The sequence below is a fragment of the Homo sapiens genome, chromosome 13, assembly GCF_000001405.40.
Source record: "Homo sapiens chromosome 13, GRCh38.p14 Primary Assembly".
Classification (NCBI taxonomy): domain Eukaryota; kingdom Metazoa; phylum Chordata; class Mammalia; order Primates; family Hominidae; genus Homo; species Homo sapiens.
This window is the reverse complement of record NC_000013.11, coordinates 67,151,799-67,174,559: the sequence shown is the minus strand read 5'-3', so window position 1 is coordinate 67,174,559 and position 22,761 is coordinate 67,151,799. Positions and strand designations below refer to the sequence as shown.

The 22,761-nt window shown below is 36.7% G+C and overlaps 1 protein-coding gene across 7 annotated transcripts in view; it reads left to right on the top strand.

Moving 5' to 3' along the window:
- PCDH9 (protocadherin 9) overlaps positions 1–22,761 on the top strand; it is a 927,503-nt gene that overhangs the window by 55,777 nt on the left and 848,965 nt on the right. Inside the window, exon 3 of one of the 7 annotated variants that reach the window (XM_011535099.2) lies at positions 5,418–13,970. The exons of the other annotated variants lie outside the window; for them this stretch is intronic. Within the exon in view, the coding sequence (XP_011533401.1) occupies positions 5,418–5,546 (129 nt within the window). The 3' untranslated portion in view covers positions 5,547–13,970. Of the gene's footprint in view, positions 1–5,417; positions 13,971–22,761 lie in introns of those variants that run through there. 7 annotated transcript variants of the gene reach the window in all.

The following is a 22,761-nucleotide window of genomic DNA, read 5'->3' as shown; positions in this document are numbered from 1 at the left end:
TCCCACACATAATCTTATCTCACGTCACTCGTGCTCACCTGACGAATGCAGCTTTAGCTCTCAGTTCAATGAACAGATAAATTTGCTATAAACAGTGTTTATAATCAACACTGTTTATAATCTATAATAAGAGCAGCACAGACTTCTTAACTGAGCTTTCTGTAAACAGGAGCATTTTAATAAGCGATAAATTTTTCTTCCCTCCCTTCGTCTGTATGTATGTATGTATGTATGTATGTATGTATCTATCTATCTATCTATCTATCATCTGTCTATCTAGCTATCTATCATCTATCTATCTATCTATAGTCTGCCTATCTGCTATAAGTAATATATTTCAAAATTAATATTTTAAACCAAAATACTAAGGACATATTTTATGTATATGTGGAATGTAGGGGTACTTAAGAGGGATTTTTAATTTCCCCACAAATAATCTTGTTAATTCAATCAATGTTTTATGCCAACCATACTGTCTATGAAAAAATAAAGATGCTTTAAAATTTTTATTACATCTAGAAAATAAAATAATACTATGAATAGATTAATTATAAACTTTAATATCATATGAATTGGTATGTTTTTTGACCCCTCTTCATGGATACTTTCATTTGAGAAGCAAAACCTGTCCCTAAGTTGTTGAAAAGAGTTAGCTTTTGATTTTGTGCAAAATGCTCTTTTTAAAACACAAATAATTCATGCATGCAACTCTATAGATCAAGTCTCTTGAGGGAGGTTTATGGTTTGATAAGAGGGTGGTGGGATTCTGTTTTATTTTTGTCTTTTAGCTGGAGGCATAAAACAGCATTTTCTGCCAGTAAAGAATACTTAGAATTCGAAATTCAAAACATATCAAGGCACACACTTTCTGCTGCCTTGCTAACCTATTTTCCAGGGTCATTTTCTTTCAAGTGTAGTTAAAATTTTTCTCTGTCGAACTGAAGTGTATACCAGAGGCTCTTGGGATTTGAGTTCACCATTCCAGACTTTTATCTAGAGCAGGTAGCCTAAGTGAATTTTCCATCTTGTGAAACTCCTGCAGTGAGGCCACAGAGAGGAAAATGGAGCTAAGTACTGACAGATGAGCCAAAGTCTCTATATTGTGAATCAGGGTTGTAGTTGGAAAATATATATATAATTTGTTGATCTTAAAGGATATATCTTTCAAGGGACTAAGTTATTCACCCCTACATTTTCTGATTTAATACTTCTCACAGGAAGGTGGATTCAATACCTGTACCTCTTAGGTGGTAGATTTCCCCACTCTCTTCTTCAACTTCCAGTTATTTTATGTAACAAATGTCAAATTCTATTTATTCAAGATTACTACAGGGAAAATTATCTTAATGTGGATAACCTTCAATCCTCCCTCCTCTTGCTTTATTTTTGTTGTTGTTTACTTCTATAAGGTAATGAAGATTGTCTAAATTTCCCTTCCTTTGATTTATGCTTAAAGAAAAATTTTTTTAATTGGTATTTTGAGTTTCTGGAGCTGTAAGAAACAGAGTTCCAGAGAGTTGAGTGACTCCCTGATTTTTAGACTTTAGCTGTTTGGGGTTGCAAAGTTATGTTTTCTGCATTATTTTAGTTAGTCCTGCAATATTTAAGACTTTAAAAAATGTTAACTTCTCTTGAATGTTTGGATAAACTGCCAATACCATCCTTTTTTTTTTTTTTTTTTTGAGATGGAGTCTCGCTCTGTCTCCCAGGCTGGACTGCAGTGGCGTGATCTCGCCTCACCGCACCCTACACCTCCCGGGCTCAAGCAATTCTCCTGCCTCAGCCCCTCGAGTAGCTGGGATTACAGGCTTGTGCCACCACACCCAGCTAATTTTTGTATTTTTAGTAGAGATGGGGTTTCCCCTTTTTGGTCAGGCTGGTGTCGAACTCCGGACCTCAGGTGATCCTCCCACCTCGGTCTCCCATAGTGCTAGGATTACAGGCATGAGCCACCTTGCCCGGCCAAAACCATCCATTCTTGAATGGCCACAAAAGCCCTTTGAAGTTGAGCCCCTGTTATCACTTCAATTCTCAGGTTCCCTCAAATTTGAATAGTCCCAACAGCAGCTGTCATCTCATTATTTGAAGCCAACTCTCTGTTACCATTCTTCATCTTACTCCCCATTTAGTTATAATTATATACTTTAACTGCCTGTACACTGAAGTCATTTAAGTTTGCTTATCTTTCTATAGAAAGGGCATAGACATTACAAGTTTTCTGAAACTCTTACTAGTATGTGCTACCTGGAGAGGTATGTTTAGAATGATGCCAGGGCTCTGCCTTGGCTAAGCAGAAAAGTGTGCCTTCCAACGTTCTACTTTCTCCCAGGGGATGCCGTGAGAACAATCATGCTAGATATAGTTAACATTTACTTGAGATTTGAAGGACAGTAAGGGTGCCTGAAATAGTACCATGACCACAATTGGAAGAGAAGCTGATGTTTACTGAGCATATCTCTTTTGGTCAGAGATTAACATACATTCATGGATTTAGGCTGCATAAGTTTCAAAAGTTTCATCCGATGTGATAAAACTAGTAAGTGGTGGTCTTAAATTGTGACTGTACAGCTCTATTATATTGTGCTCTCTTAGTGTTTTGAATACTTTCACATCTTTGAGAGCAGGCGATGTAAGGCAGATACCTCTAGCAGTAAGGCCCTTTAGGGAAATAAATGACACCGCTCTCATTTTGAGGGCTTACAGTGTGCTCTGCTGTTAGGAACTTTGCATAGGTCATTTCATTTACTGCTACATTTTCCCACTTTGTAGGAAAGTATTATAATCACTACTTTATAGGAGAGGAAACTCAGGTTCAATCGCCTCAAACAGGTCTCCAAGGTCACAGAACCAATAAGTCACTGAGGCAGAATTCAAATCCTGGGGGATAATTTCTTAAATTTGTAGTTTATACGCACTGCACCATTAAAGGTGTTGATAGAAATGCATAATAAAGATAAAGGTATAACATAACCAGAGATAAATGACTACAGTCACAATTTTGCCTGAGTCTAGTTCTCAAGAGTTTTAATGAAATCATAGATAGCTCAATGGTTTGTTTCAAGGCTTCCAACTTTAATTCTGACACATATGGAAGAAGTATACCAACTAGCAGCAATATTGACAGAATGTGATCTTCCCAGAGAGTGAGGGTTAATGATTGGTGACAGTCTAGTCCTCCAAAAGCATCTGCTGTTAATGAGGTTAGACCTCCAATGCCACCCTGAACTGGAAAAGTCAACTGTTACCCTGAAATTCTACCCCGACTCATATATATTTATGATTGCTTTTACTTACTGTAGATACCCTATTTTCAACTTTTTCTTTTAAATAGTTTGGGTTACCGTACATATAATTAATAAGAAAAATTATTCCCTGTGGGAAAATTTACTTGGAAAAATAAAATTAAAATGACAGAAATCTCTTAATGAGAATATGGCACCAGTTCATGGTAAATGGATTTCGGTATGCTATGTTTCATCTAGGAGATAGAAGTCATTTCGGCCAGGAGTTGCCAAACTTTATGACATCACCCTTTGACAGCTCCAGGGATAGGATGACCATATTTTTCTCTGAGTTATGATTTCATGCAACTTTTTAATTCTCTCCATGGTTCTCACTTTTTTGTTTTTGTTTTTGAGACAGAGTCTTTCTCTGTCACTGAGGCTGGAGTGCAGTGGCGCAATCTTGGCTCACGGCAACCTCCACCTCCTGGGTTCAAGTGATTCTTGTGCCTCAGCCTCCCGAGTAGATGGGATTACAGGAGTGCACCACCAGGCCCAGCTAATTTTTGTATTTTTAGTAGCGGCAGGGTTTCACCATGTTGCCTAGGCTGGTCTTGAAGTCTTGGCTTCAAGCATTCCGCCGGCCTCGACCTCCCAAAGTGCTGGGATTACAGGCCTGAGCCATAGTGCCTGGCCAGTTCTCACTTCTTACTTTTGATAAATATAGTAAAATATGCAATTCCCATTGTTATTATATTATAGCATTCTAATGATATATGGCAAAAGTTTAATTCTTATAGGATGGTCTTTCATAGAATCTCCTTTGCTATTGCAAATCGAATGGTATTACTTTATACTTCTGGTCATGTTTTTGAGGCAGCCATTCTCCTTATCTGATATAGAAATAATCCTTTTACCATAGAGTTTACTCAATTTTTAAGTAACTTGTAACAAACACATTTTGAAACTTTATGCGAAATGTATTTCTCAGTGTTAGAAAAATAATTATTATCTCCATTCACAAGCAAACAGGTGTTATCTACAGCTATGTTATATGAGCTGCCATTTCTTTAAGTTTGGACATTGGCATACATGACCATATAAGTTTTAAATTTTCTTAATGAAGCATTACATTCAAATACAAATACCAAATAGAGCTTTGCTAAAGACCATAAATAAAAGTAATCTGATGGTTTCATAATGCTATAGCACTGATACCTGTGAATAATATAAAGCTGTTTTTCTTCTCAAAGAATGGATCACTTAGAATGAGACAGAACCACCTGCAAATAAGCAGGTATCTGTGATTTAAGAAATAATATAAAAAAAGGAGGAGGAGAAGCAGGATTATAATCGGATGCTCTACAACCATATAGAGACGTACCTAACTGGTTCCAGAGATTTGAGGAGCTGGATGTATTGCCAGAATTATAATTTGAAATAGTCAGTGAGATACTGCAGAAAAATAAATAGAGACTCATGTGAGTCTTTTAGCAATTAACTATTTAGACAAAAAATACAGAAGAGTAAAATCAGGGCTAAAAGATTAATTTACTTTCTTAAGATCTTGGTTAGTAGAAGCTTTATTAATTAAATAATAAAAATGTTGCTCTTAATTATTTTTCAGGAAAATACAGATACACTTTGTTGAATTTTTTAATAGCCTAGGGTTGTTCAGATTCTATATGAGTTGACATTGACTCAGCAGTTTCGATAGCTACAGAATAAGTTAAAACATTGTTTAGCTTACAAAAAAATCCCTTTAGTTTATTGTGGAACATTTCAATAACAATAATTAAACAATGAGCACTTCAGAATCTGCTGTAAGATTCTAGCTAACAGAGGCCAAAAGACATGTAATCAGAAATGATTTTATGGGTTAAATCTATGCCAGAGCTTTCTTTTACAATAAAATTGGAACGAATTTTGTATGGCAGAAGATGGCAACAGAGCAGTGTTTAAATTCTTAATTTTTAAATGAAACATTAAAAATAAATATGAACACCATAATGAGCATTGTACAATATATAAAAATAAATTTGAACAGATGATTTTAGGATGTTATAACTTGGATTTACCTAAAAGGTGGATTTTCAACAATTATATAGTTCTGGCTTCATATTTGCACTCTTGGTTTTCATATCAAGTGCCATCAGTCATTTGTGTTACAAATATAACTGTGGTTTCCATTCACAGGGAAAACAAACACTGATTTTCCCCAGTGGTGCTGAGGACTTCCAGTGTCACAATGTGAGGATAATATTTCCAAACTTTCCAATTTTATTTGTGATGTCCCATGAATATGTAAGTGAGAAGAGTACATAAAGCATACACTAATAACTACTTGTTTGACAAACATTTATTAAACATCTACTGGAATGGTTGTTCATAATCATATGAGTCCAGACTTACTCATAATGTGACATACCGTCATTCAAAAGATGGCTGTAAGATTCAGAAAAAGTTGAACTTTTTCAAATTAGGGATTTAAAATGTTTAAAGATTGAGATAACATTTTAAATGACCATTAAATGATTGTAATTGATAATTGGGAGTGTTTTCTGAGTATTTTTCTCATGTATTCTTGTTACTACATTTTACTTGGAGCCAGGATCTTGCTCTGTTGCCCAGGCTGGCTGGACTGCAGTGGCCTGAACACAGCTCACCACAGCATCAACTATTTGCACTCAAGTAATCCCCCCATCTCAGCCTCTTGAGTAGCTTGGAACACAGGTGCACCCACCATGCCTGGCTAATTTTTTTTTTTAACATTTTGTAGAAATGGGGTCTCACTATGTTGCCCAGGCTGGCGTTGAACTCCTGGGCTCAAGCAATTCTGCACCTTGACCTTCCAGAATGTTGGGATGACAAGTGTGAGCCACTGTGCGTGGCTTGACCTTTCTTACCACTTTTTAAGGTCACTGATATTCTTGTTAGTATTCCTAGTATAGAACTATTTCACTCTCCATATTTCTTCTTCCTTGTTTATTTCCCCATGGTTATGAACGTTCTGTATCAGCCCTCAGAATCAATGTTCCTGAACTGCAGCAATATAAGATGGTGATATGGTGCTGAGGCTTAGCAGAGGGATTATATATTGAAATCATTTTAAAATCAGATATCTTACATTAGAAGAAGGGTGCAAGAATAAAGGTTTTGTCACAACTTGTCATAAATGTGAATATGGATTTTCACTTGCTTTTGGATAACAAGTGATTTTCTGGAGAAGTTGTCTACAATGTGGTTACCTTTATCAGTATGTTTTCTTCTCTCCCAGGATTGTGTTTGTCATTTTTAATTTGAGCTTTTGTTATCTATCACTGTGAAACAAATCGTTTGTTTCTTTATGAAATAGTGGGCATGTGTCCTCAAGCTCCTGGCAACAGTTCTGTTTCCTTTTCCCTTGTTCCTGGGGTATAGAGGGAAACATGGTTTCTGATTATTGCAGGTAACTCTAAATCCCTGTATGCATTAGTCTTAATGCTATTGCTAACATATTGGGTTATGAGTATAACTCCAGACACCTGATCTGTTTTAAGTTTGATCACAGGACAATAATTAGTTCCACGGTGGAATCATAAATAAAAAGGAAAAACAGAATATTTAGATAAAATGGAGTTTAGAACTTCAGCATGTTTAAAAGGCTATTGAAAGTAAATTCAATCTGGATAGATGCTGACACTGGGCCTCAGTCCATTATTTAAAGCAAGTGACTCAAAATGTTGATTTTCCTGCCACAAGGGAATGTCAACACTGTAAAGAAAAAGATATTGACTTAAAGCAAATGAGTTAGAAGGCCATATCAAAAGCTTTTCTATGGTTAAGGAAAAGTTTGATGAAAAGTGGCTTCATCAAACTTTTCTCCCAATAAAAGAGTAATTTGAATTTATGTACTAGAGAGTTATATGATATAGTCCTTATCAAAGTCAGATAGTATCCTTATGGATTTTTATATTAGTGTCTTGAGTCCGCACAATCATACTATGAAATAGATATCATTATTATCCTCCTCATTTTAAATTAGGGGAAACAGAACCCCAAAGAACTTAAGTAATTTGCTGAGAGGCACGCAATTATTAAGTAGCAGATGCAGATTAAAGCCTATGTAGCCTGACCCCATATTCTGTCTGCTCTTAACCACTTCATCATGTGCTTAACCATTTCATCATGCTCTTAACCATTTCACTAAAGACAAACATAGCCTTTTAAAAAATCAAATAATGTAGCATGAATATTTTATACTTAAGTTGAACCAGTGACTTAAAAAATCATAATGAATTCTTATAAAATATATGATTGTAAGATATAACAAGGAAGGTTATCGTTGTAGAACAAGAAGTCAGATCTAAATTATGTAATTATTAATGGCACTGTGTAAAGAACCCTTGCTTTTTAGTGTTCATTCTAAACTTAGGTGACTATTAATGTCAGGCAAATTCCCTTTCCACGGTTAGTTTACCAATGAAAAAAATATTTCCAGATAGTCAAAAAAAGGATAAACAAGTGATGGTCTTTTAGCCAGACAAACGCAGGTACAATGCCCGTAGCCACGGTAGCCACACACTCATGGTAGCCATTTTATTCCAACATTATACGTTTTGCTATGGAAAGAACTTTATTTCTCTTACTACCACCGTAATAATATAACACAGAATAAAAAAAGGTGCAACAAAACAATAAAAAACTCAAAAATTTTTACTGATCAAGCCTTATGTATGAGTATAGTAAAATAACCGGACACTTTCATTTGACAGAAAATATCAATTATGTTGTGTTACCAAATTGAAACAGTTACCAAATTGAAACTAACCAAGTAATTTATAAAAGCTCATTAAAATGTCATAGTTAAGGTCCATTCTCAAATATCCTCATTTTGTATAATCTGAAACTGAATATTCAAAGAGGTTAAGTGACTTGTTCAAGGTTGTATCATGTAGTGAAATCAGGCTTCCGATCAAAAGGATTTTATGAATTCAGTTTGTTCATAGTTATCTATTAGATGCCTGCTCTAGGTTACACATCATATCAGAGGTTGAGAAAACAGCAAAGACTTCCTTCATGTCACTTATCCATATCTAATTGAAAAGAAAGACAAGTAACAATATATTGTATCTAAGTGTTCATAATTGTATCAAAGGAGAATAAAACAGGGTAAGAAGCCAGGGAGTTATAGTGGATCTGAAATTTATTTTATATGGAGTGTTCAGCAGAGGCCATGCTGATAGGAAAATCCAAAGGAATCCATTGCAAAGCATGATCCTAACCATTCAGGCAAATTGACTCCACACCACGACTTTTTTAACTCAAGAGAAAAAAAGATTTAGAAAGCCTAATTAATCATGTTGTTTTGAATGTGGTTAACTCATTACTTGTAATAGATACATCTAAGTCTGTAAAATGGGTAGTTACGTAGTTTCTAATTTACAGAGCATGAGAGGCTGTTAAGAAGTAATCATACATCAACAAACTAGTCATTCAAATATGATTTGTTACACTAATGAAAAAATGCAAATGTCCATGCGTCTTAAAATCCTTTTCAAATTCACAAGGAAATAAACTTGTATTTTTAAAATAAGATAATTAACTCCTATACAACTGTTAAACATTTTTTTAAAAGATAATGTGTTTAAAATTGACTTAGGTTCCAAAAACAGATATTCTCATAAAGAACTGTTAGCAATATAAATTAGAATAACTTTTTTTTTTCCTGGAGGGGGTAGATAGATAGATACATAAAAGATAGAATTAAAATGTTCTCTTTGTTATGGATTCAATCTCAGTTCTGCCATGTAAGCCCAGGACAGTCTTGACCACTTATAAAATGGAGCAATATCAGAGTTAGTGGGAATATAAATGAGGTAAGTATTGGAATATTTTAATCGCAGAATAGTACATTATGCACCCATAAAATATTCACTATTATTATTGTAAAGTGTATAATGATATATTCTGCAGCCATCAAATTCAGTTTAAAATTAAATGGAATGCTGAATTTTTTATTAATATGTGGATAAATGTTTAAAATCAGATAAACAACAATTATAGTATGATCTCATTTTGTACAAGTAATCATGTATTTTTAATGTATAAACACATTGTAATTTAGGATTTAGCTCAAACTTTTTTTATTCATCAGTACAATTCACTAATAAAAAAGTAAAGTGAAGTGAATAATATCAAAGAAATTAAGTTTTAATTTCTGAATGGTAGAAATAGATGTGATTTTAAATTTTTAATTAATTTATTCTTTTATATATTGTTTTTCAACACACTTTATCAAGTACCTACACTTTTTTGTGGCCCTGTTTCAGATGCTGGGGATGCTATGGTCAATAAGATGGCTAAGTTCTCTCCCCTGCTGGGGCTTTCATGGAGGTATATAGTCAACAGGTAAATGAATTAACGTGGAAGATCATTTCCATAGGACTAGTGCTATAGAAACACAAACAGAATAATGACATAGCAAGTGATTGGGTAGGGGCAAGAGGAGGGATGCAGAAGTTCCTGTATGTGAAGATGGTCAGGGAAGATCTGAGGAGCTAATAAATAAACCATAATCAGGATGATGTCACTGAAACAAAGCTGTGAAGAGCAATTTGCTCAAAGGCCTGAGATGAAAACAGGCTCTATCCATCTAACAATGGAAAGGTGACCTGATCAGAGTGCAGGCACCTGGAAGGGTAGGGAGAGTTTGCAACAGCACATCACAAGGCTGGAGTCAAATGTTATAGTCTTTTTCTTTTTTTTCTTTTTTTTTTTTTTTTGGAGATGGAGTCTGGCTCTGTCACACAAGCTGGAGTGCAGTGGCATGCTATCAGCTCACTGCGACCTCTGCCTCCCTGGTTCAAGCAATTCTCTGCTTCAGCCTCCCAAGTAGCTGGGATTATAGGTGCCTGCCACCACACCAGGCTAATTTTTGTAGTTTTATTAGAGACAGGGTTTCATTATCTTGGCCAGGCTGGTCTTGAACTCCTGAACTCGTGATCCACCCATCTCGGCCTCCCAAAGTGCTGGTATTACAGACATGGGCCACCGCGCCCGGCGTATATTCTTCTTAATACTTCTGCTAATTTCTGAATTTTCCTATAGTAGATATAATATGTATTTTCAAATATTTACCTGAAATATATATTTGTGTTATTTTAAGAAGGAAGAAAAGCTGAAAATAAAAATGTTTATGGATGAAATTAGAACAACAGAAAACTTGAAGATGCATTATGATTGCATTATGTGAAGGTGCACACACATTTAGTAATAACTAGAAGATGTCAAAACACATGATTTTGTTAGAGTGGATTGGTAACTTTTTAAGAACTAAGTCCTTTAAACTTTTAACTAATTAATTTTTACAATAAAATAAAGGGAAACTCATGCCATGTATTCCCTTCATAAACTTAAGAGACCCCCATTATCTTTTACTTTAAAATTCCTATAGGATGTCATTATGCTTCTTTCTATTGTAATGGCTTGGTTTCAGATCACTAATAAAGAATCTGGATTACATTTATTGACAGTTAGTTTTCCTGATCATGTATAAGAAAAGAATTAACCATTTGAGTTACTGATTATTCTTTAAAGAACTGTACATTTTGGAAGCCTCAATATAAGTTACAAGTGATCGCATATCTCTGCAAACATTATACAGTGTTTAAATTCAGTTACTTGACGCAGCAAATTCTGGGATTAAAAACAAACTTTTCTCATGGTCTGCTCTGGCATATGAATTAACTAAAACCAGAAATTGTAATTACTGTCTGAATGCCTTCCTACAAGATAAAATGAGATGTTAAAATGATTTGACATTACAGAGTTTAATGTTTTTATGTGACCTTATTATACCAAATGCGCTCTGAAATTTTAAATAGAATGTAATGACAGAGAACCAAACTTAAGATAGTAAAGTTAGAGCATATATTTTTGACAATTTTAATAACTTTGTTTGACAAATGAGGTTAAAATACCTGATCTATCTTCTCAAAGAACTGTTCAAGATCCCTTATATTATTTCACATATAGGTTTATAGATACTTTCTTTAATACATATTATGCCTGAGAGTAGCTTGGTTCATCTCCACTAAGTGAGAAAGTTATGTATGCAATTTTAATTGGGAACAAGAGTCTTTACTTACACATTTTTATTTTTCGGGGCTGGGTGAGATCTGTGTGGGCTTCTTTATATTTGATTCCTTTTGATTCTCATTCATGCACACGGAGTTTCTACAGTAACCAAATATGTGAAAGCCTGGAGTTGACCACTTCTCTGATTTTATAAGCCAAACTTAAAAGTGTTACTATCTATATATGGTGATTAATTAATTGTTTTTGCTACTTCACATCATGATCTAAATGTGGAAGAACTGGATCGCAAATAAAGAGCTGCAAAAGTACATACATGATTTTCACCATATTTTCTTGTTAACTTTTCTAAATTTCACCACTAAATATAATGACATACTTAAGATATATTTTCTGTTTAATACTTCAAACCAAAGTGCTATTTTTTTTTTCAGTTCAGTACAGTGCAGGCACTTGTATATTCAACAGTTATCTTTTTTTCTGAATACATTATTACTTAAATAGTAATGTCTAGGGGGTACTCGATCTGTTTTCCTTTTTCTCTGATGTGGAAAAAGATGTTAAAGACTCTGAAGCACCTTATCTTCCTTCTCTACTCACTCGGGAGTTTTAGAAGAGGGCATTGAAGTATGGCCAATTTTCTTTTCTGATACAGACACCTGCAGGCCAGGAGCTAGGTCAAAAACTGCTGACCTTCAGTGAAGAATTTCTTCTGGTGATCAGATAGGAAAGGCTTTTGATGGTTGTTCTGTGAGTTAGGACTCCTGCAAGTGAAAGTCCACACTGCTTGTGGTGTTTGGTGTGTAACAAAAAAGATGAACTTTAATAAAGCTATTTTATATCAAAATTCCCAAGAGAAAATATCCAGTCCACCTTAATCAACTGAAATTTTGAAGCTAAAATTCTAGAGATACACTTTCAGAGAGTCAGATTTTTTTGAAAGTTGACATGTATTTTGAAATACTTACATATCAGGAGAACTAGAACTACAATTCAAGAAGGATATTGACATATCTTTTGATCTTGTCAAATGTTATAATCTACAAATATTAGTTGTGTGTACCTGCACATTATTTAGGATGGCTATTTAGGCCAGTAAGTATTAATAAATGGAAGAAATAAAGCCAAGGAAAATTTAGCCTGAATATGAAAAATTAACAACACTAAAAATCATTGGCTTTTTAATTGCTTCCCAGAAGATAGAGCAAAAAACTCTACTTCCAAGGTCGTTTAGGAAGGCGGACTTGAACAAAACACTTAGACTGTGGATTAGGCTAGCTAATAAGTTTTGGCCTTCTCCAATTCCCAAGCACTATTTATTGCCCACAGAATATCACAGTTATCACTTTAGTAAGTTGGAAGAAGGCTGAAACTCTATATTCCTTGGAGGAGTTGTGTCGTTGCTACTATTATAATATCTGTAGTTGGGAGACTAATGGTAAGAGGCACAGATTACAGATATTTGTAAGAGGAAATAGTCTCCTTTTCTATTATTCTCCCTGACTAACTACTAATTTCCCTCTCCCTGCTCACATTAACCCTGCCTGACAGTCCCTGGAAATTAAAGTGTTTATTAGGCCCTATCTTCTGTACACTGTGAGTGGTACATTCTACGGTCAACAGTTCCCTGCCACAAAAAATAGATCTGCATGTGAGTCTATGTATGACCTGCAGAAACTAACTTACTCCTCTTGGAGTTCAGTGGCTCTCTTTGGAGCTTACCATCAGGTAAGGGCTCCATGGTTAAACTGTGTTTAGAACAAGAGGGAAAAAAGAGATTTAGCTATTCAGAGGAGGCTGAAATCAGAGGGTGCTAAGCCAGGTGTTTCCGTCACTGAAAAGCTTTAAGCATGGATGTAGCTGAACAGCAGCAAAGCAGGCCTCCTGAATGATTCATCACTGCCCGACACTCTTCTGAGGCTGTACTCTTATTTATGAACATAGATTATACTGTTATTGATTGCAGTCCTCACGGAGGTATTTCATTAACTGGGAGGTTTGTCTGTTTGCATATGCTTTGTTTCCCTGAGACTTTCCTTATATTTGAACAGAAATTTATATCTGAAGTAAAATTAAAGAGAATTGTCTAACTATTTTGACTCATTCTGCAATCAGGAAGGGTATTGGAAATGGTTTCCTCCAGACACCTGGATTGTTAAATCATTTTATTCTATTAATTGTACTGTTATGTGGAAGTGTGATGAAAAGCACCCTAGAAAGATACTCTTCCTGAGAATCGCTCTACCTACTGCATTTATCACTGTTGTTCCAGAAAGATTAGCTGAAATTTCAAATAAATGTCCCCATGCTACTTGCATTTCAGAAATGCTTAAAATATCTAAGCGACCAGGAAAGTTGTTTGACTATTCCACAAACTGGCTCCTAACCACATTAATTCAAAAGGTGTGAGAATTCAATTGTACTCAGTGCTACACAAATGTTCAGAAGGGAATACAGAATCTGCCTCCATAAGACAAATGGTTCTCTTAGGCTCCTGTGAGTGTAAGTAACTTTTCTTAAGAGGGATGAGAAATGATGCTTGTGGCTCAAGATACTGTAGTAGCTGATTCAAATAAAATGCTAGTTTATATCTGATAAAAACACAATGGTGTGAAGAGTATTTCAACCTGCATGTTGTCTTGAATCATGGTATTTAAATCATAAACCCTAAAATAAAAAAAAAAAATAGCCTTTGAGTATATCACTTTTTTTTTTTGAGACGGAGTCTCGCTCTGTCACCCAGGCTGGAGTGCAGTGGCGCGATCTCAGCTCACTGCAACCTCCGCCTCCTGGGTTCAAGCAACTCTCCTGCCTCAGTCTCCCGAATAGCTGGGACTACAGGCGCCCGCCACCACGCCCGGCTAATTTTTTTTGTATTTTTAGTAGATACAGGGTTTCACCGTGTTCGCCAGGATGGTCTCTATCTCCTGACCTTGTGATCTGCCCTTCTCGGCCTCCCAAAGTGTTGGGATTACAGGCGTGAGCCACCGCACCCGGCCAGGTTGTGTTTTTAATCAAAACTGAAATATGAAAATAATTTTCTATTGCAGGAAAGAAAACTTATAAAACTTTTGGAGTATTTGCTGTTGTTGCATTTTGCTGTTGTTGTAGATGATGATTTGTTAGTTTGAAATCTACAAGGCTGAAGAGAAATGAATCACAAAAATTCAGAGGAGTCAGAATTTCCCAGATGGCAGAGATGCTCATCTGAGGAGGCTCTTCAGAATGTCGCTGAGCTGGAGTTCTTTGACAATGGAAGAAGTAGGAAACAAGTTCATATCAGGAGTTTCTTCATTTGCATAGTTGCAAAGAAGCCCTTAAAATCTCAGCGACTATGCAAAAAAATAATAGAAAGAAAAAAGAAACCAGCAAAGGCCCCTTTCTTATAAAACTACGTATTTGGCTACATAGTTTAGTTGCTTCTTTATTACAGTATCTGTTTTCTTTGCACTAATTGCTACATTGTTTTCAATGTCAGGTTCGTTTTGTTCTTTTCCCTGAATGAATTTGTTTTTTAGTCAATTACTGAATAAATCTATTCTCTAAAAAAGTGTGTTACCATTTTTCAGGCCAAAAAAGCATTCACCACCTGCCTGTTTAGTAATTTCTCCAGTTATCTTAAAGGTTTTAATGAGAATGTTTAAATAAACTGCAAATCTCAAGTAACATTTTATTTTTCGAAATGTTTTACTCTCCCTTCTGGGGTCCAGTCTGGTTTCTCTGACCTCCATTATTTCCTACTCGATGTCCAAGAACTCACTCTACGCTTTTCTTTTTGTAAATTCCATTCCATTTCAAGATGGGTTGTGAAGGGCCAAGTGTGCCAGTAGTATGCCAGATGTGACACAATATGATGGCTTCAAGTCATGTCATTCTTTGCTCAACATATTCAGCAGTAAACCTTTTCCCTTAGAATCAATTCTAACCTCCTCACTGTGGTTTCTATGTTTCTACACAGGGTGGCCCACTCTCCTGTGTTGCCTATGACCATCTTTGTTTTCTCGAACCCGTGAGTCTCAGGAACCCACCAATCCCGGTCAAATCCAGGCTGTCACCTTATAGGGCAACCCTCTTGCCTAGAGTTCCTCCCACTCAAATCTCTCCCTTCTTGCCAACAATATCCAGTTGCAGGATCTCAAAGAAATCGTCTAATTTTGCTGATCTGCAGTTTCTTTACTCAAAATGAGAGCCATAATAGCATCTCCTTTTATGGTTCTTTTGAAGATTAAAGATAGTGACACTGGGTCAGTGTCTGGCTAATTGTCTGTGGATAGGGTGATACCCTACCTCATTTGGAGTTTGATAGTGCTTTAGTCTACAGGGAGACTGTTATTTCGTCTTTCCAATGAGAAATAAACTAGTATAATTTTAGCATGGTAGCTTATGTATCCTTTGCTTGAGTCATTCAGTGTTCATAAAATTAGATAGTTGTGGTAGAAAATATCATTGACAGCAAGTCCCACCGACTATATCTCATAAAGAGTGAAGCTGTAACAAAACCAATTTATTTGATATCCATCTTAGTCAGTTTGGGCTGCCATAACAGAACATCATAGAGTGGGTGGCTTCAACAGCAAATTTATTTCTCACAGTTCTGGAGTCTGGACTGTCCAAGATGAAGATGCTGGCAGATCTGGTGTCTGGTGAAAGCACTTTTCCTGGTTTGGAGACAGCCACTTTTTAATTGAATAGCAGACAGAGGGAGAGATTCTCCTTCTACTTTTTCATATAGGGGCACTAACCTACTCATGAGGGCCCTGCCCTCATGACGGAATTACTTCTCAAAGGTTCCACTGTCAAATACTATCATATTGAGGATTTAGGCTTCAACAAACAAATTCTGGGAAAACACATTCAGTCCATAGCAGTATTCATGCTTTAGGGCCTTTCATTCATTGGCATTAAAAACTCTGAAAGTATAAGTTCGCACTTTTAATTTCTGATCTCAGTTTGCAAGCCACATAGATATTCAAGCAATGGATATATGAAATCAAATAGGTGTTTGTTCTATTAGCTTACATTGTATGAAGCAAAATGAGGATGCATATGTTTACTTTCTTTGGGCCTAAAATAAGCACTAATATCTCTATGCCTTTATAATATCTCTCAGGAATATTAGACAGTCTAGTGATACTAATTATGTATCACGAAAGCTTGCATGTGATGTACTAAAGAGAAGTATTTTAATTATCTTCGTTTTAAAAATGTGAGATTCTGACATTCAGTTACCTTTGTAAGAAGTTTACTTTTAAACTCGCTCCATCTCATTTGGCATCTAAACTCACCACAGATGCTTTATGATTTTTTGTTTTTAATTAATGTCAACCCCCAGGTTGCAGTGAGAGTTGTCTTATTTCTCTGCCAGAGCCCAGACTGAGAGAATTATGCTGGCAATGAAGAAATGATGATGCCCATTAAGGTTTCAAACTCAACTTTCAAACTTCCCCCAAAAATCTATCTGCGTGCTAGACTTAAGGCTGCCTTCTTCTAAAGGCCCTTCTGATCACAGGAAAAATATATTTAATAAGTATTTTGGCTAAAAATTGACCATAATTCATAATTATATTTTGCTTACTCACATGTATTTTTTTCATTAATTCTCATGGCAAGTTTTACTTTCTGTCCATTTCCTATCCAATTAAAGAAATCACTCAGTTACAGACATTTAGTTTTGCATGATGTTGCATGGGTGTGAGAGTCAGTACAGTTCACCCACTGCACAGGCCAGTGCTATAATCATATATATGCCTTCTCATAGAATTTTAGAAAATGAAATGTTTTTAAGCTTCTGGGTAAAAAGGAAATAATAATTCTTAAACTTGCCCTTAGTATAATTTACATCCATTCATTTAAATAATATTATTTGAGCAGTTAGTATATGTATGTCTTAAAGGCATGCAAATTTTAACAAATGAATATAAGAAAATCCAGTTGCCAAGAAATTTGCAATTTAATGGAGGAGATTTTTAAATTACATAAATCCCGATAGTGATAAGTGACCTACGTGAAATATATGCAAACCGTTGAGGCAAGGAAGAATGTGAAAAAAGTTATGTGATACAGTTAAGATATATTCATACTCAGGAAGGAGTGTGTTTATCCATTTATTTCATCAATTAATATTAATTCAATATATGTTAGGCATTGATCGAAGCATCAGGGATACAGGGGATTACCGAAAAGATAAGCAATTTATTTTATAAAGCAAAAGAAATAAAGAGATAAAATATTATAATACAAGTATTTAACAGATGATGTTGAACGCTCTGAGGAAATGTGTTAAAGCGATAGGCCAGAGGGTTATATTGTATATGCTAGTGAAACGGGAAAGGTTCAGTAGTCCCCCGGCAGGGCATGCGATGTGGGTGTGGCTCTCCAGTGCCCCACTGCTCAGACCTCTAGAGGAGCATACAGACGGCAGGCTGTGGGGCTCCCACCCTACAACAGTGTCTAGGGGTGAATGTTTACAGCTGAAGCCCCAGTGGGCGTGTGTTACAGGATGCTCTCTTAGTGTGCCATCTATAGGCTTGTGTTAACCAGCTCAATTAGACCCTCTACCTCATCTCAAGGACAGAGGGCTTTCTGTATCCCGGGGTTTCTCGCCTTTGTGTACCGAAAGAATAGGATCACATGTGGGCTTGGAGAATGAGTGCAAGCTTTTATTGAGTGGAAGTAGCTCTCAGCAGATGGGGGAGCCAGAAGGGAGATGGTTTTCCCCTGGAGTTGGGGCACTCCACGGCCAGGGCTCTCCTCCCACTGCCCCCACCAAACTCCGCCTCATCCCACTCCCACCGGGACAGTGCCGGCGTGTGTCCTGTCGGTGTGCTCTTCAGCTGCCATGCTCCCCTCAACATCCTCTCGCCATCCAGATGCTTGTGCCTTCTTTCATTGATGTGCTCCTCTCTCGCTTCAACGGCCTGTGTGTTCCTACGCTGATATGCTGCATTTGACATCCCCCTGCCTCTATCTTCTTCTGCTGATCCGCTCCTCTACACGTCCAGTCGTTTCGGTCTTTGCCTTGCTAGAGTCTCAGGTTTTTATAGTCACAGGATGGGGCCGTGGTGGGCCAGGATGGTCTTGGGAAATACAACATTTGGGCGTGCAGGCAGGAGTGCCAGGTCCTCATCTAGGTCGGTGGGGGTGGAGCCCTAGCCAGGGACCACACCCTTCCTCTACCCAGCACTCCCGTATCATTTAAAGGGACCATGGTCTTGCCTTCCCAGCACTCCTGTATCTCCGGCATCCTTAAAGATACTGTATTTGAGCTGAGACCTGAAGGATGAAATTGGCCAGCAATGTGAGAATCAGGGAGGTGAACGTTCCAGGCAGGAAGAAGAGCAAGCCAAAAACGCTGTAGCAGGCATAGATTTTGAGATTGTGTTAATATTTGAGTTGGGTTTCTAAGGTATGAATAGAATTTAGACACCTAAGTAAAAGCCAGATGAGATTGCCACTGCTTTTACTATAATAATAATAATTATTATTATTATTCCCACAAAACAGCTTCCTTTTGTTGGTCATTTCAGAGTGACTCAAATGTTTTACCCCTCTTTGTACAATTCTTAGTGTTCTCTATATTTCCTTTAGGGTATCTAGCTTCTGACAACATTGCTAATTCCTTAGAAAACACAGAGGGAAAAGGAGGATGCCCCTGAGACTTGAAGAGAGGATAACTTTTAAAAAATCACGTCATGGAACACATCAAGCATCTAACATATGCTCCCTTGTTATTTTAAAAATGCAACAATAGTTGTTTTTCATAAGTTTGATAATTACAATTTAAGGTTATGATCCAATTTCAAAATAAATCAGTTTTGTTTTCTACACCTCTTTTCCATTTGGAAATCTTCCCATGCTTATGGAACATTCTAACCTCTGATACAGTAATATCAACTGACCACCAAATCTTAAAACAAATTTCAAAACCTTATAACAAATTTCAAAACCTTATAACAAATTTCAAAATATTAGAAAAGCCTGAAGCACTGAAATATCTCTGAAAAACCTGAAAGATTTGGAAATGATACTGGAATAACTTGAGCCTGCTGGCCGTTTGCATTCAGTTCCAGACAGTTTTAGTTTGCTTCTGAAAAATAACTGATATAAGTTTAAAAGGGCAAATTGGTGAGAAATTGTGAAATATTTGGTAAGCTGGGATGGAATGACAAAATACAAAATTGAAAACCGTCTGTACAGAAAGTAAAACACCTTTGACAAAAGAAACACAGTAAGAGAATGTGATGAAATTAGGTAAAAAGAAATAATTATAGGCCAGGCTCATGCCACCCACCCACCACTCAGGTGGGTGGATCACCTGAGATCAGGAGTTCGAGACCAGACTGACCAACATGGCAAAACCCTGTCTCTTTTGCATTACTAAAAATACAAAAAATTTGCTGGGTGTGGTGACACGCACCTGTAGTACCAGCTACTAGGGAGGCTGAGGCAGGAGAATCATTTGGATCCAGAGGCGGAGGTTGCAGTGAGCCAAGATCTTGCCACTGTACTCTAGCCTAGGTGACAGACAGAGACTCTGTCTCAAAAAAAAAAAAAAAAAGATTACAGATCAAAATTACTTAACACAACATAAGTTATCAAAAAAGAGAGTATCTTGTATGTGTGTGTGTGTGTGTGTGTGTGTGTGTGTGTGTGTGTGTATATATATATTTTTTTTTTTTTTTTTTTTTGAGACAGGGTCTCCGTCTGTTTCCCTGTCTGGAGTGTAGTGGCAAAATCGTGGCTCACTGTAGCCTCATCTCCCAGGCTCAAATCATCCTCCTGCCTCAGCCTCCCCAATAGCTGGGACTATAGGCACTTACCGCCGTGCCCAGCTAATTTTTGTATTTTCATAGAGACGAGGTTTTGCCATGTTGCCCAGGCGATCCACCTAACCTAAGGTGATCCACCCACCTTCCAGAGTGCTGGAATTACTGGCATGAGCCACCACATCTGGCCTATAATCACTTCTTTTTATCTAATTTCATCACATTCTCTTATTACATATCTTTTGTCAAACTCCTGGGCTCAAGGGATCTACCTGCTTCAGCCCCTCAAAGTGCTGGGATTACAGGCATGAGCCACCACACCTGACTATAGAATCTTTTCTTACCTGTTCTAAACTAGTGCTTAATTATCTTATATACATGTACTGTTTTTTGTCTTATAGGAGGAAGAGTTTTTGCCATTTTAAATTTCTGTTTATTTTTATTCTTTTTCCTTTACACTTGTCTTCAGTTCAATTCACCAATTCTCCTTAAGTTAGTTGCACAAAACAATATATGCCTCGAGCAAGGTGCCAAAGTATACACGTATATTCATTTTGTGTCTTTTTAATTCTAAGGTCGCAAGCCCAGATGAGACTGGTATTGCTTTTGTCATTTATGCAACATGATTTCCTTTGGCAATTCAGTTGTTTCAGAGTAAACTACATTTTTCATCAGTGCCTATTAGACTGTAAATGTATTATTTCAGCAAATGGTAAACCTCCTGTAACTGTGAATAAAAGAATCACAGTAGAAACCTCTAAGTTAGCAAAGAGGGTAGATACTAAAGGGTTTTAAAATGTATCTATTTTTTAGAAACTTGCTTAAGTATATAACTTCCATCAACCATATGGAATGCCCTTAATGTGTAAGGCATTTCACACAATACAAAGGTGAAAACGACATCCATAGATGTTATGAAACAGACGTTTCTAGGTGAGAGGCTCATAATCTGAAAAACAGAAAATATGTTTAAACAAGTTAAGTGTATTGTGAAAAGTGCTATAAGATACTTGTTTTTAAAATGTTGTGGGCTGGGAGTGGTGGCCAACTCCTATAATCCCCACGCTTGGGAAGCCAAGGTGGGAGGATCACTTGAGCCCTGAGTTCAAGACCAGCTGGGACAACATAGGGAGACCACCATATCTGCAAAAAAAAATAACAAATCAGCCAAGTGCAGTGGCACATGCCTATAGTTCCAGTTCCAGCTACTGAGGAGGCTGAGGCAGAAGGATTGCTTGGACCCAGGAGTTTGAGGCTATAGTGAGCCATGATCGCACCATTGCACTCTAGACTGCAGGACGGAGAGAGACCCTATCTTAAAAAAAAAAAACTGTGAAAGGGAAAACTAATTTAGTCAGAGAGGAGTTACAAAGAGGCTGCCTAGACTGGGTCATAAGGCCATCCAGGTATCCAAGGGCAAGCAGGAAAGAGGGAGAGGCGAGCATGTCCATAAACCCAGAAGTGAGAATGAGTGCACTTCCAGGTGGGAGTGATGAGGGCTAGTTGGAGAAGTGTCTGGAATTCTTCACTGGGGCGGGGGATACATAGGAAGTGTCATTACCCTCTATGCGTTTTAGAAAGAAAACATTGTTTCCTTGAGGCCTAAGCCTCATTCCTCTAATTACCATCCTAGATTTATTCTTCCTAGGTATTAAAAACATAAAACCTTCTCATCTTCCTCATTCTTACTCCTTCAGTGTGATTTTTAAAGAGGTTTGCCCAAAGAACGTGAGTTTTAAGTAGCAGTAATGATGATTCTTTCTTCATATGAATCAAGAGGCTTTACTCTTTTTCCCTCACTTGGAAAAAAAAGTGGGGGCTATTTTGTTTAAAGAATATAAGGATGAGACATCACGCCTTTGAACAAGCTTTATATTCCTTCCTTTCCACAAGGGCATCAGTCATTATGAGGCTGCAGACATTTTCTTGAGATGTGTAGGTCAGCTATGTCTAAGGGGATTCGATTTAATGAGAGATTGAGAAATATTCTGCTATCTACCAAAGATATGCTGATTTTAACTGATTTACTGTTGTTGAAAAATTGAAGAAATGTTCAGAGATTTAGGTTGAAAAATCTGTTGTTTGTAAATTTTTCTTTATCAATAAGGTAAAATCAGAAGTCTAGCAATGTCATGCTTTTTACTCTGAGCTGTACAGAGAGGCCTTAGGCACAAGTGGATTTCTGGAACCAGTGGATTTCATAAATTTGAACTAAATTGTATCAGGCATGGAGCGCTGCCAAATTGTAATTCATTAGTTCACTGCCTGGCAGAGTTCCGTTTCCTATCAACAGTAAAACATACAGGTTTCTTCTGGGTGTATGGAATGTTCTCACTTCCAAAAGGCAGATTATGCTTTTATTTCATGTAAAATTTACAATTCTTGGAACAAATAGGACACAAAAAGTCTTGTAAGTTCTTCAGCTATAAGAAGATACAATTTGGAGGAATTTGTAAAATACTATTTCAGTTTATCTCATGTAACTTGGGATGAGAGTTTTATGAGATGAGAAAGTATCCTTAAGAGTCTTTTAGTTCATTCATATAGTCTTGTAACAAAAAAAAAATTATCTCTCTTTAGGCAAAATGATGATGCAAGGACCCTGAGTGCATTTGAGCTTTGGTGCCTTAAAAATGAGTGTGGCCTAGAATTGGGTGGAGATGTTGCCTGCAGCTATACAAGGGCTGATACTTCCTGAG